Source organism: Homo sapiens, chromosome X (assembly GCF_000001405.40).
Source record: "Homo sapiens chromosome X, GRCh38.p14 Primary Assembly".
Lineage (NCBI taxonomy): Eukaryota > Metazoa > Chordata > Mammalia > Primates > Hominidae > Homo > Homo sapiens.
Window position 1 is genome coordinate 122,462,496 of NC_000023.11, and position 16,050 is coordinate 122,478,545.

Below are 16,050 nucleotides of genomic sequence, written 5' to 3' on the forward strand. Positions count from 1 at the left end.
TCTGTTTATGGTCATTTAGGTTGACTCTGTGTCTTGGCTATTGTGTATAGGGCTGCAATAAACATGGGGGTGCAAATATGTTTTAGAGATCCTGATTTCATTTTCTTTGGATATATACCCAGAAATGGGATTGCTGGATCATATGGTAGTTTTATTTTTAATTTTTTGAGGAACCCCCATACTGTTTTTCATAATGGCTGTGCTAATTTACACTTGCAGACAGTTTTGAAGAAAGCATTTGAATTAAAATTATCCTTAAATGAATGGATACTGTAATTGCATTTTTGCACCAAATGTAGTCATCTATGGCATCAATACCTCTTTTTAAATTTTCTAGATTTTCTATTTTGCTTTTCTGAAATACATTGAATCACTTCATATTGCAGCTGGGATTTCCTGAATTCTCTACTTTTTAACATTGAAATTTCCCAAAGTGCATTGCAGGTGTTTTTATAAGAAGGATACTCTTTAAGATTGGATTGAATAGATCATAATAGCTTTTGATTAAGACAGATGGTTTCATAAACGTCTCCAAGACTATTTCTATACTAGCAACATCTTCGGAAGAATCAAGTAAATATCATTGACTTTGATTATTTTGATGTTTAAGGTGAACAGGTCTATTTTATGTCATTAATAATATAGACAATTGCCTGAGTTTTCCTCTTTGCAAGAGCGAGCAAAGCAAAAGTGTTCTCAAGGCTGCATTCATAAATGGTATACTGCTTTGTAGTTAACCAAATGCTGCAATATAAAACAAGATTGGTGAGAACATTAGCAATGAATGGCATTATTTTTAGATCTTGGCCAAATGTGATTTAGTTTGGTTTTGTTTAGCCTAATTTCTTGACTTAGACTGAGCAAGTCTTAGCTCTGTGCCCTCTTCAGTGTGGAGTTGGCCTTTATGCATTTGCATGTCACTTTTATAATTTTCTAATGTACAGACTTAATAGTTTCTGGCTCCCCATTGACTACTTTGGGAATGGGGACTAACTATCCAATCCTTGAATGAGAGTGTTAGAGATTCCAAGTCTACTTTATATATGTGAACACTGTTCTATTCTGTACCCCTTAATTGTATAACAGGATAGGCTGATGAAGGAAATACGGAACTTCGAATCAACTCAAAAGCCCAACCCAGTATACATTATACAGATGGTTTGCTGTATTCCCAGCCTGACCTCTGTTCTTGTCATTTGCAATCAATTATGAAATTGTGAATTACCTTACTTTAAATCTAGTGAAACTTACTTTAGAAAATCCATACATAGATCAGTATATTTTTGTTCAAAGAGCATCAAAAATACAGAGGATTTTCTTCTAATTTAAAGTGAGCTGTCATGTCACTTGATTCAAGTTTCTAATTGTGGGATGATTTTAAAATAAATTTTGGGAATTACTCAGTCTCCAAAAAGTATTCATCCAAAAGGATTGCAAAAATCCAATGTCTAAAATGCACTGGAATGGTCATACTCTCAAGATGAATTACCTTTCTTTTTATATCCTAGTTGTTGTGTCTCTGCAGTTCTTCCTCTCTGCACCAATATACTTTCAATTGTACCTACTTACAGTGTTTTGGAGAGGATCTGAAGAGAGAGAGAGCTGAGGTCTAAGGTTTTAATGGAGATTTTGTCCAGACTGACTTTTTTTTTACTGATATTTTACTGCTTGAGATTAGAAAAGAGAAATATCAAAGGGCAACTCTTTTCATAACACTATTTTTCTTACAGTTTATCCTATATAGAAATCTGCTCAGTTCACTAATTTTAGGCAATTTTAAATCTATTTTCTACATTGGCATTTAGGAGTTATTTGAGTGCCAAAGTATAAAAGGGGGAATTACGTTCCTATATGTAATATAGGAACATAATTAATTAAAACACAAGCTTTATCGGTTCATCCATAGAAAACAAATTTATTTTAGAAAATAAGGAAATCAAGTGCTATTTAAAAGTACAAGAACAGTTTAATTTCACCAAAGAAATAAACCAACTCTGGCATTCAACCAACTCCACCAGCTTCCTTGGGGACTAAATTCTGTCTGCACATCAATGAAAGAATCAGTATTTGAGACACGAAGTAACTTTTGGCAGACATTGAAAAAGGCACCAAATGGTCTCTGTCTTTGCTGTGATCAACTGTGAAATGAAAACCTACCATTTAAATCACTTCTACTGAAACCTAATTCGTTCTCCTTCAGCACAATACAGAATAAATCTCAGTGCCCTCTGGCCCATGGAATTTTTCTTAAAATAAAGCCAACAATATGAAGTTTCTGTGGTTGGAACATCGTCCCAATCTGCACGTATACTTGATATCTCAACCATAGTTTGAAATCTAGTTTATCAGTGCATTGTCTGGTGTGTACAGTGCCAACCTCATTTAAGTGCTGGTTCTACCACTAGCTACCTAGTCAGGTCATTTTTCTTCTATGGCCTTCATTTTCTTCAGTGATAAATTTTAAAAAATCAAACTAATTTCAAAGATTTCTTTCAGCTTTTACTTTTTAAACATTTTATTTTTATTGCTACATAACAGATGTACATGTTTTCCTTCCAGCTTTAGGGGCCTGTGAGCCCAGCTGATTTTTCACTATATAAAACAGTTATTTGGTGGTATTTAGTCATGGATTTAAATTGTCTTTCCCTCCTCTCTCCAACTTTCAACTATCAAACACAATTTTACAAAAGAATTTAGCTACTGATATGTGAAATAGGACTGGTCTTACTTATTCAAGGAGTAGATATTTACCTTCATAAGGCAATATGCTCGTACTTCATACAAAAGCCCTCTGCAGAGAAGCAAGCCTCCAAGACACTTCATATTTGTGTTTCTTTGTCTTATGATAATTTTGTCTACATGCAACCTAATTCTTGGAAGTAAAGTATAGGATCTCTTACTGAAAGCAAGTATATTTTCAATGTGGTTTGGCAACTATAATAAAAAGTATACTTGGTTATTAAATATAACTATGGACTCCACAGCAAAATAATCTTATAAAAGAGGTGAAAACTTCCACTTGTAAAGATGAATGTGGTCATTGGACTTTAGGAGACATTGTATATACCTCTAAATGAGGGAAACCTCTGAAAACTACATTTAGGGTCAAGCAACAAAGGAATTTCAATACTAGGGAAAAGCAGGTGCTTAAGTTGATCAAATATTCAAAATTGATCAAATGCAATACAACATCACTGGAGTATCAAAATGGTTATGAAAAACTTATTTACTTCCTTAAACTAAAATTTATTTATTACTAAATTTATTGAGGCACACATACACACATATATATATTTTTAATATATATATATTTAATATATAAATTTTTAATATATATATTTAATATATAAATTTTTAATATATATATTTAATATATATATATTTAATATATATTTAATATATATATTTTTAATATATATATTTAATATATATACTTTTAATATATATATTTAATATATATACTTTTAATATATATTTAATATATATTTTTAATATATATATTTAATATATATTTTTAATATATATATTTAATATATATTTTTAATATATATATTTTTAATATATATATTTAATATATATATATTCTGTTGGCTTCAGATAAACAAGTAATCAATTTTATAGAAACATTTATGAGAAAATAGAATTCAATTAACAGAAATGTATTCAATACAGCCTTTATTAACAGAGTACCTCTACTGCATCTAAACAGGTAAATTTACCCAGAGTAAAAGAAAAGTCTTACTTGAACTGCATTTTGAGAATATGTAGTACTTTTGGGGAGAAATTGGATCCTCTTATGCCTCATTCTTTGCTAGGAATGTATTTTTCCTCAATATAACATATTGAGTATTTCATATTTCCTTGTGTTCTTTTGACCTATGTTCCCTAAATGTTTGATGTACTAGGCTCCTACACTAAGAGGGAACAAGACTTGATTTTCACTGACAAACACTGGCAGAAATTATTAATTATTCATGAGAAGCCAAAGTTAGGCAAATATGCACCAACTGTTCTATAGCTTCTGAAATAGAAAAACGGCTGACCAAATTAAAGAGTACACAGTGCTGTGAGGGCAACACAAACCCACTCAATGATCCAAAATGTGTTTTTTCTCGTTCATCCTCATTTCCTGTTGGCTTCAGTGCCAGATGTTGTAGAATTTCAAGCATATTGACATCCTCCAAATAGCTGTGTGAGTAATTGAAGAGTATGTTGATGTGTCTGTGTGTCTGTTTTTTCTTGGTGAGGTTTTTCTGTATCAATCTCTATATTTAAGTCTAAGAATATAGAACCTGAAATCAGTAAAAAGCGGTTTTGTTTGAAGTCAGGCAAAACTGGGTTTGAATTTACCTGTAAATTCTCATTTGTGTGACCTCAATTAGGTTGCCAAATTTGGTGTCTCAGTTTTCTCATCCATAGAAAAGGAATAATAATCGTGCAAATTTCATAGGGCTGCCTGATAATTAATTTATTTATATAAAGCACCTAGCACAATGCCTATGACAAAGAAAACATGCAGTAAATAATGATTATGACGTCAAAGATTCTTGAAGGTTGGAAGTTTTTGGAGAGACTTCAAAGTAAGAGAAAATACAAAGAAATGGCATTTTCCTCATGGGTTCAATATGTACTGAAATTTATATTACTTCACTTTTTAGGTGGCAAAGCAATGTAGTTCTTAAGAACTTGATCTCTACAACCAGATAGATTGGAGTTCAAATCCTGGCTTTACCAGCTGGTAATTTGGACAATATATCTATTATCTCTGAGGTATCATATTTTTGCATATAACAATAGTGGTTATAATAATTTCTACCTCACTGTGTAACGATCACTAAATGAGCACTAGATTCATATGAAGCATTTTGAACACTCCATATCATATAATAAGCAGGCAATAAATGGTAGCTATCATCATTATTGTCATGATGTTCCTCAACAAATTAGATAATTGTAGCAGTGCAAGAAACCTTAGTTATCGGGCTGGGCGCGGTGGCTCACACCTGTAATCCCAGTGCTTTGGGAGGCCAAGGCAGGCGGATCATGAGGTCAGGAGTTAGAGCCCAGCCTGGCCAACGTGGTGAAACCCCATCTCTACTAAAAATACAAAATATTAGCCAGGCATGGTGGCAGGCACCTGTAATCCCTGCTACTCGGGAGGCTGAGGCAAGAGAATCACTTGAACCCGGGAGGCAGAGGTTGCAGTGGGCAAAGAAAGACCACGCCACTGCACTCCAGCCTGGGCAACAGAACGAGACTCTGTCTCAAAAAAAAAAAAAAAAAAAAAAGAAAAAAGAAAAAAGAAACCTTAGTGATCATCTGGTCCACGAATTGAAAACCATCCTTTTACATATAGGGTAAATTATCCCAAAGAAGGGAAGTGAACAGACCTATTTCAATCATTTAGTAGTGACAAAGCTGAGTGTGAAATCTAGGTTTCTTGTCCCACAGTCAGTACTATTACCAGCCTATTGGAGATAATTGTAGAAATGTAGCGCCAGAAAGATTTTCCAAGCAGCTTTTGTGGGTTGCCATGGGTTCAGTCTCTAAACCACCTCTTGGGAATTCTTCAAATGTTATATCATCTTTTGATTTTCTCATCCTCTTTTGTTCTTTCATTAAGGATCCAATTATACCATATTCTTCTTTGCCCTAAGTAGGAGCTAAATGCTCCTGTTTTTCCGATAGATCAGAGGGCGTTCCTAAAGTTTTCAGTCTCACTACTGTGGTTGTTGGTTTAATCCTCTTCACTACCCCACTTCTGCCCCTAACAACTTACAACAAACACAACCTTAACTTTTATATGCATGTATTATCAATTCCTTTTGGTTTCTCTCTCCTATAAATTTTTTTTTTTTGTTTCCCTACTCCTCTTTTTTCTAAATAGCTCCTTTGAAGTTTTTAGTAGTTCAAACTAAAAATGTGTGGCTCTAAAACTCATCTTTGTTTGTTCTTTGAAGAACATGGTTTCAGAAATGGTTTGGCTAATTTTGCTGTCTCTGTGATTTGTTGAATTTTTGTAGTGAAATGCTTTGATTCCTTTCTCTTTATCTTTAGTGTATCTACTAGAGGCTTTTTCTTTGTGGTTACTGTGAGGCTTATATAAAACACCCAGATTCCCCAAATTGCAATATGGAATTATTTATTTTAAATTTGTGGTTAGTAGAAAAGTTGGAGTCAATGGACACATGGGTACCAAAAAAGAACCAAAATGATGGGAAAACCTAAAAATCCCTCTTAGAATCCTAGAGTTGGAAAACCTTTCCGACACTGTTAGTTCAGCTTCTCAGAAAAGAATCCTTGTTAACCCTGCCTATAAAACAGTCAGTGAATTTCAGGTTAAAAATCACAGCAGCAAGGATGCCTAGAGGTTATTTAATTTGACATAAGCATTTGCTAGATAAGAAGACAGAGGGAAAGAAGAAAAAAATCCACCCTCCAGGCTTCCAGCTCATTTCTCTAGACTGAAACAAAATAGGCAAAACAGTGGTTTTCTTCCTATTGAGTTTTTCTTTGGGGATTAAAGCATAATCAATGATTTATGTTTCCTTCGTTTTCACCAATACAGATTGATTGTTTCTGTAACATTTATCTAAGGTCTAAGCCAAGATGTTAACAGAGTAAGGGTGGGAGGCGATGTTAGATGAGATAGGAATAAGACGAAAAGGGAAATGTTTAAAGAAAGAAACTCTGAGAGTTTATATTGCCCAAAAAGCAACAATAATTATTAGGGTAACTTTTTTTTCCAATTGCTTTTCTTGGTTAGCTATTACTACAGAGCAGTGCGGTCTAATAGAACTTTCTGTGATTATAGAAATGTTTTATGTCTGTGTTGTCCAAAATAGGACAACAGTGGCTATTGAACACTTAAAATATGGATACTATGAGAGATTTAATTTTTATTTTATTTTAATTAATTTAAATTTAAATATCCATATGTGGCTAGTGGCTACCATATAGGACAGAGTAGTTCTAGAAGTTAATAGCAACAGCTTTTTCATTCATGCCAGATAGTTTTCCCTGTTTTATGTCAAGAAATTGCTCCTAAAGAAAAAACATATCTTTTCCTGACACATTTTATTATGACAAAAATTCGAAATGCTACCTCTCAGTTACCACAATATCTTAAACAGGATGTTTTTCTCTCTCAGAATACCTCACCTATCCCTATGCCAATGATCTGAATTGTAGTTTAAGTTGCATGGTAAGTATAATCTTAATTCATGTCTGATAGCAAGGCTTAGTTAAGCCCAGACTGCCTTTCCTTGCAGTAACTCTTTTCTATGGTATAGACTCTATCTGACCTATCTCTCAGAACCAGTATGAGCATCTACAGAAATATTTAGTTCAGAACAATTTTAAATAAAGTGTTATAAAAAAGATAAAGCAGGAATTATCCACATTTGACATATGAGGAAACTGAAGCCTAGAAAACGAAGTGACAAATTACGCTGATCTATTAGTGGTAGAGTCTGGATGAGAACACAGGCCTTTTGAATTCTTTCCCAGGGAATTTATAACTAGTGATTTCACATATTGCAATAGAGTGACCTTGTACATCCCACACATTTTTTCCCGTAGGGCCAAGGAAGGGGAAGGGGGACAATGCTACAAGTAACCACAGTAGCGGAGTTCAAATGGATATTATCATTTTCAATTGCTGATGTGGGCACTACAGAATCACAGTACAATTATAAAATTTCCTTGCCTACTAACACAAGTTATTCTAATATCACTTTGATATGGTTTCTATAAACAAATCTTCAATGTTATTTTATGCCATTGGGTAAATAATTGTGTTGCCCCATCATTTTTTATTTTCTAAAATGTGCACAAAAAGGTTACCCAACATATTTAAAATCCTATATTCCATTACTAAAATGGTTGAAAAAGTTTTTAAACAGATGCTTTTTTCAAGATTGTTTCTTTCCTGCTCAGATATAATTCAAGACAAATTAATGCATATTTTATGGCTAATCAGTACAGAAGTACATCTTAGAATTAACACATTATGCACATATTGCATAATTGGTGTTAGCTAGATTCTCCCTGCCCCAGTACTGTTTAAAAATATAGTTGAAACTTTGCAAAGCTCCCAGATGCGCCTCTCAGGCACCTCCCTTAGTTCATAAATTTAGTTAAGTGGTCTGTAACAAACAAACAAATTAAGCCCATATAAAATTTTTAGGAAAACAGACCAGTAGGTCTTAATCTATCTCATAGTACTCTGCTCTTCCATGTAACAAGGACTACTGAATGTTTTACATGATTTTTTTGCCTCTCTTTTTACGTATCACCATTGTTGAAGCATCAGTACCAGATAATTGTGTTCTCTTATTGGAGAAAATGTGTTGACAGCAGAGTAAGTCCTCAAACATCCTCTGCCGTATCTGGTTCAACTTGTCTTCACTACAGTGAATTTGCATTGTTTTTAACAGAGCTTAAATTTTTACTTATCAAAATCCTAAACTTTTTAGGTTTTGCCAAGCTGTTGTCAAATTGTCTTCCTCTTTCATCAGCCAGGTATCAAATATTATTGCAATATTTCTTAAAAGGGGGCCCATGGGACATCTACATAAGAATCACCTGAGAGAAGAAATTCATAAAATGCAGATTCTTGACCCACACTTTAGGTGAAAACCACAGTGATGTTTGGGAACCACTGCTGTAGGGAGAGCCTACTCTTTGCAGAGCAATCTTCTAAGTCTGGAGAAGAAGAAAATGACAATAGATAAGTATAATTCCTTAGATATGTAAGAAGTTATAATCCTCTGGCCATGACTCAAAAACCGTATGTTACCTTCAGATTTAAATTAATTTACAGCAGTAAGCAAATAAACAGAAGATATTGGGAAAAATTGTGGCAGAACCAAAACAATATTTTTAGCTAAAACAAGCATGTAACAGCTCTATATAGTTCATCTGATTTATTGCTACACAATGGCCATTAAAATTTCCGATCCAGGATACTATGCTTCAATAGTTTATATTTTTTTCATGGCCATCACAGCATTATTAACTTCATAAATTAAACAAAACATTACCACATACCAACTATATTAAAAGTACAAAATCTGGCACCGTAAGTCTAGGCTGAATATTAGTTCCTATGGAGGTGTCGGTGAGAAAGGGCTTGTGTCTTCACTTAAGATTTACCTGGAAATAGAGTATAATCAACCTACACATTTAACTACTACTAACTCTGTAATCTCCTTGTTTTTTCAGGAACTACTAGGTTGGTGCAAAAATTATTGTGGTTTTTGCCATTACTTTAAATGGCAAAAACCGCAATTACTTTTGTGCCAACCTAATATTAGGCCAACAGGGCCAGAGAATAGAGCATGCAAGTTGAATCTCTCTCTCTCTCTCTCTCTCTCTCTCTTCCCGTGTGTGTGTGTGTGTGTGTGTGTGTGTGTGTGTGTGTGTGCATCAAAGTAAAGTAACATATGCCTGAATCTTAATAAGAAACAAAATGAATTTTTAAATATTCTCCTATGGGATTTGCTTAAGTCTGAATTCTCATCCTTCGGTAGCAAATAAATCCAATGATTACAATATTCTGTACGCTTGTGAAGCAACAAATGTGAAACCAATTTACCTCTCATCATTTTAAACGTTTTTGAGCAGGAATAATTTTGAAAGAAGTTAACTTACGCCTACATATATACGTTATAAATGAAATTGTAGTTAGTTTCTTGAAATTAAACATATTTATTCTGCCTCCTAATTCAAATGTTTGATGTACACTAGTGCAGGAAAAGTAATCATTCCAATTTCAGTCCAGAATAGGACTCAACACAACTTGGACAAGAAAACAAGACTATCTCTATATTTAGAGGTATTCCTGTTTCTGCGTATCTTCATACAACAGCACTTACTTTCAACTAAGTCAGAGCATGATGATTGCCAAGACAGGTAATATCAAAGAATTAGACTTTATTCTATCCATCAGTGGGCTCTAGTCTAGTTTGGGAAGATAAAACCATTTCTATGGCAAAAATTTGATGTCTACAGGGCCAATGACAAGCAAATGGAAACTTATATAATCCGTACCATACATAACACCTAAAGAAACCATTGCTACAACTGCTAAGTGTCTGAAGAGATTAACCTGGAAGGGTTTCCTGGAAAGGTTTCCAGAAACTCATTAACTATATGCTAAGCACTGAGGATACTGAGACTATAGTAGTGAACAAATTAAATATGAGTTCTGACTTCACAAACCTTAGGCTGTGGAGAAGACTGACACTGAATAAGTAAAATAGATGTGAGGAATATTAAAAATTGTAAATACTGGTGCTATCGTGGCTCTAAACCAGTTTTGAGGCTACAAAAGGCCTCTCTGAGGAACTGAAGGCCTTGACACACAAATGAGCATCATGTGTCCCAGGAACTGACAGGAAACCAGCCAGACTGGAGCATAGAGCTTAAAGTAGAAACAGCAAAGAAAAAAATTAAATAGAATAAAAGAGAGAGAAACTATCAATTCACATGAATTGCAGTGAAAATAGGAGGTAAAACTGAAAATTGTGTCTTAAAGTAAAAATTAAATATGCAAAATGGAATCAAATGGCACTTTTCATATTAAGTGACCTAGAATTAAATGAAGATAACAATGTTTTTTCCTTTGTCCTGCTTTATTCTATTATGTAACTTGTGCAAGAGAAACTGGGTCCTATGGATATGCATCCAAGGGATATATATGAAAGAACCACCGACATTTACTGATCTCTGGATTTTTCCTTAAAAATTATGGTTAATATTATTTTTGATTGATAAATCATAATAGTATACATCTATGGGATACAATGTGATGTTTTAGTATATGTATACAATGTGGCATGATTAAATCAAGCTAATTAACATATCTATCGCCTCACTTAGCTTTTTTTTTTTATGGATTTAAACATGATTTCCATCTGTCCTGAAGGTTAAGTTGTTCCAGCATCTGCCAGATTATTTAGTCAATACATTGTAACTTATTTAAGATAATATTTCCAAATTTTTAAATCCAGAGTGTAAACACAGTCATTTAAAACTATTTAAATGTTTAATAAATAAAATATCAATGTTTTAAGATACATAATGCAATATATTCCATCAGTGATGTTTGGAGATCATTTAGTAAAGGCATGAAAGCTAAACTGTAAAGACTCACAAATGTTGATCTCATCACTTACATCTGACAAAAGACATTTCAGCAAAAGCACATTTGTATTTGAACATTTTCAATGACTTAAAGGAGACATAGCTAAGTTCTACAGACATCACCATGTGCCAAAATGTTGGGGAGGCAGGATATTTTTAGCAGATGATTTATAGATTGATTTCCTTCCAAGACAGATAAACAAGAGTACTGGGGCCTGAGTTGTTTTTCACAGAATATATGGTGGTTAGGTCACCAATGGGCCAAATTTGGAAAATAATACACTTTGAATCTGCAAGCTGCTATATAGGCACCCAAAACTAAAATTTTCAAAACCAGTTGGGTTATTAGGAATAAGTATTAGAATTCAAGCATATGATCCTTGGATAACTGTATACTATATTTTAGCCTACATCTTTGGCATATATCATATTAAAAGATACTGTAGAGCAAAACACTGAAAATCTGCTGGAATTTGCTAGATACAAGTCCAAATATTATTTCCGTTTACCTCTTTCTAATGATGATTAGTCTATACAATCCCTTTTAATATGACTCATATTCATTTCTTTCACATTTCATAGCAAAAATATCTACCTTTAGTTCTTCTATGATCATTATTCAAATGGCATAAGCCACATAGCCAGTCGGAACTTCAGCACCTTGTCATCAGAGAAGGTGGGGACATCTGCAACTTTATGAGATAGGGATTATGGGAAAGATACTTGGTTCATATAAATGCATATAAAGCATAGAAGTATGGGAGATCTGCCTGTGGTTTGGTCAAGCTTTTGTATCAGGGGAGGTCTGATATAAATGGTAAGTCACAGTAGCTTGATAGCAAATATGAAAAAGATAATGGACAACAGTGCCGTGACTCCCATGTATTGTCTCATCCTCAGTAAATGTGAGTTGGTTACTATAGGTCATGGAGTAAAAGAGTAAATATGGCTCCCTTAGGGGAATTGTGCTGCTAAACAAGGAAAGTAAGGCATATGGATGACGTTTAATTCCTGGCCCCCATCAGCTTGTGGATTGAGACTATTAAAATCAAGTTGTAAAAACATGAATGAACCTGGAGGACATTATGGTAAGTGAAATGATCTAGACACAGAAAGAGAAATACTACATGATCTCATACTTGGAATCTAAAGAAGTGGAACTCATAGAAGCCAACAGTAGAAGGTGGTTACCAGGAGTCACAGGGTGGAGGAAACAGAAAGATGGTCAAAGGGTACAATTGTGCAGTGATAAAATGAGTAAGTTCTGAAAACCGAATGCACAGCCTGGTGACTATAGTTAATAATAATATGTTGTATACTCGATATTTGCTGAGAGAAGAGATCTTAAGTATTCTCACCACAAATTAAGATAATTATATGAGGTGATAGATATGTTAATTAACTTGACTGTGATAATCATTACACAATGTATATGTATAGCAAAACATCACATCATACACATTAAATATATACAATTTTTATTTTTCAATTATACCTCAGTAAAGCTGAAAAGAAAAAGATCAAGGGACTTTTTCGCTAGTCAGAGCTGACTTGGTTGGACTAAACAAGATACCAGGTGTGGTGGAAGGCATTGTGTATAATGGGTAGGCCATGACACTGTAAATGCTTATCATGCCCAAAGGGGCATAGTATAGAAAGTGTCACTTTATGTAAAGGCTTTCTGTCTGCTGACCTTAACCACACTTAACCAACTGTTTAGAACACACTAGAAATCAACTTATTCCTAGACAAACCAGAGAGTTATAAGACTTTGCTGGGTACAAGAATTGTTCAGTTGAGGTATTCAACATTGGACAGTGACTAATGAATCAGTCAAATACTCAAATACTTTGTTTTGTGTAGCTTGCATATGAGTCATATACCTTAGAACTTCCTACCATTCACTGGCATGTCTGTGTGCCTCTTCTCATCATCCCCTTAACTTGGAATACCTTTTAATCTTCCTCCCCATTGGTAAATTTTTAAACCTTTAAGGCTTATTTCAAAATGTTATCTCCTCTGTGAAGGCTTTCCTGAACTTTCAGGTAGATTTGGTCCCATCAGTCTTTGTTTACCTTTCTGAGTTGCTCCCACAGACTGCACATTCCTTGAAGACACAATTAATCTCTTAACTATTCTTATTCCCCAACACTTAACACAGCATTTGATATATTAATAACTAAACTTTAGTAAAGCATACTGTATGCCAGAAACTTTTATAAGCACTTTAAATATATTAACTCATTTCATCTTCAATAACAACTCTATCATATAGTTATTGGAATTATATAATAGATCAAGGAACCAAAGCACAGATAAGTTAAACTTGATTCGAGGTCACACAACTTACAAGTTGCAAGCAAGATTTGAATTCAAGCAATCTGGCTCCAGGATTAGCAGGTATTCAGTAAATATTTGTGGAGGGCAATAAAATGTAATAATAGAAAGGGAATTTAGAAATCGCCTTAGAAATTCTCTTTTCATAAATGGAGAAATTGAGGCCTGAAAAGTTGGCAAAGATAGTGTTAGCTAATTAGTGGCAAAAGAGAAATTAGAATTTGGAGTGTTTAATTTTTCTCTGCTCAATGTTGCTCTCCTCAAAGGTTATTTCTAAGAAAGTTTAAAAATAATTTCCAAGAATTCATCAAAATTATCTCTCATTATCTGACTGAATTCAGTTCTCTTTACCTAAATTAAATTTGGCAAAAAAGGACGGGGAAAGAGATTACCTCTATTCATAGAAGCCAGGTCCTTCTGTCCTTGTTCTATCACTTATTGTGCATGTTTTTATTCAAATGCAAGTTAATGCCACTTTCTAAATCACAAATCCATTTAAATGGATCATTAAACCAATTCCTATGTTTCCACAGTGATGGATGATGCCCCTCTCTCTAACTTGCCCCCATAATGACCAACCTATATTGTGCACCTATTTTTAGTAGGCTCTTCTACATGACCTTTCATGCATATCCTCCAATTGTTTCTCTTATTTTTTTTTTTGTCCACTTCTCTGTATGCCTAGACCTGTGCATTCCCCTGAAATGCCAATCTCAGGGACCTTAGTGTTCTATTCAATTTATTCTAAATTTGACATTTGTTATCTATGTATAACAAGAGTCATTTCTCATGCTCAAGTGACGGGGTTGGCAGAAAGTTTTCTCCTTTGTGTGCAAAACTGACCGAGTGAATTATTTTCTTTTCCCCCTTCAAAAGAGGTTGAGAATGAGTGCATCTCTTAAAAAAAAAAAAAAAGTAAAATCTAATGGGTTGCCCTGATGGGCATATATTTCTTGTTAAGGTCTGGCTGACTCTCAGAGACTGTGTATGTGTAGTAATTTTTTTTCCTTTTATTTTGCAGGTAGAAGTATGATAGTTGAACTTTATTGTGCTCTAGAAAAAGCAATAAACCCTTCTGCAAACTTCATAAGATAGCACAGTAAAAGGAACTCTACACCAAGAGGACATTTTCCCTTCAAAATAACAAAGCAGAACACAAAGTAAATCAAAGCATATAAACGGAGAAAGGAATTCCGTTGCCTTTGAAATTGAACTCCAGAAATAATTTACTTAAAAAGAGTTCCTCAGATATAGCTTGAAGTCTAAAGACAATCATTGATCATCAACTGGTATTCTCTTACTCCATCAGCACTCCAGATACAAAGCAAGAGAAAACCCAGAGTAAAAAATTTAAATGGACAATATTTCATCTGCAACCTGGAAAGTCTTCTATGCTTGCTGTTGTATTGACTTTCCTACTTATCTCAGAAAATTGTGCATTTAATCATCTCTCTCTATTTTCTTTGACTCTTTTCCAGTGAGAGAGTATAAGATTGTTTACCTAAAGACCTCGAAGTCTAGCAAGATAGGAAGCAAGTTGTTACTTAAGCAGGTTGGGGGGGCATTATGGGCACAATGAAAATTAATCATTGGTTCTCTTTGCCTATCAAAATACATCGTTCACATAGGACCCCTTTCCCCAATAAATTTAGATCATGCCTACTCTAGAAAAGGAATCACAGCATTGTCACTTCTTGATGTTGTGAAGTAATTTGTAATGCGCAGAAATGATTTGAATACATGTCCCAACAGAGCTTTGTGAAGGAAACTCAAAGCTATTCTGACATAATAGCAAATGATAGCAGAGAAGGGACTGAAGCACTGCAGCAAACCCAAAATTGTTCCAATATTCAGCTGCTAGAACAAAAAAGAAAAGCCTCACTACTGAACCTTTTTCATTTCGTATAGCTGCTCAAAATTTAGAAAACTCATAGACCATAATCCATTAAAACAGCATCTATTACATCAAGTTCTAATTGCTAAACTTGCTGGTAAATCCTTGGGGTAAAGAGATTGGAACTCTTCCATTTTCAATAAAGATTATTTGTAAAACTAAAAAAAAATCCATGAGACAATCTGATAGATGTCTCATTATTCCTGATCTGTGTTCTTTTTTATTTCTTAGCCCTACCTCTACAACCGATTAAAATGCTTAGCCTAAATACTTTCACCATTTCAAAGAAACCACTACAAAAAGTGCTATTTTTTGGCCGGGCGTGGTGGCTCACGCCTGTAATCCCAGCACTTTGGGAGGCCAGGCGGGCGGATCACGAGATCAGGAGATCGAGACCATCCTAGCTAACACGGTGAAACCCTGTTTCTACTAAAAAAATACAAAAACATAATTAGCCGGGCGTGGTGGCAGGTGCCTGTAGTCCCAGCTACTCGGGAGGCTGAGGCAGGAGAATGGCGTGAACCCGGAAGGCGGAGCCTGCAGTGAGCCGAGCACGCCACTGCACTCCAGCCTGGGCGACAGAGCGAGACTGTCTCAAAAAAAAAAAAAAAAAAAAAAATGCTGTTTTTTTCCTGGATTTTATGAGGATAAAATTTAGATAATCTTTTAAA

General features: G+C 34.3%; 1 long non-coding RNA gene across 2 annotated transcripts in view; it reads left to right on the forward strand.

The window, feature by feature from the left end:
• Positions 1-15,586, forward strand: part of LOC101928359 (uncharacterized) — a 56,076-nt gene extending 40,490 nt beyond the window's left edge. For both annotated transcript variants that reach the window (XR_001755950.2, XR_001755951.2), the window contains one exon: positions 14,507-15,586. This is a non-coding gene — a long non-coding RNA (uncharacterized LOC101928359). The remainder of the gene's footprint in view (positions 1-14,506) is intronic.
• Positions 15,587-16,050: the final 464 nt, after the last annotated feature.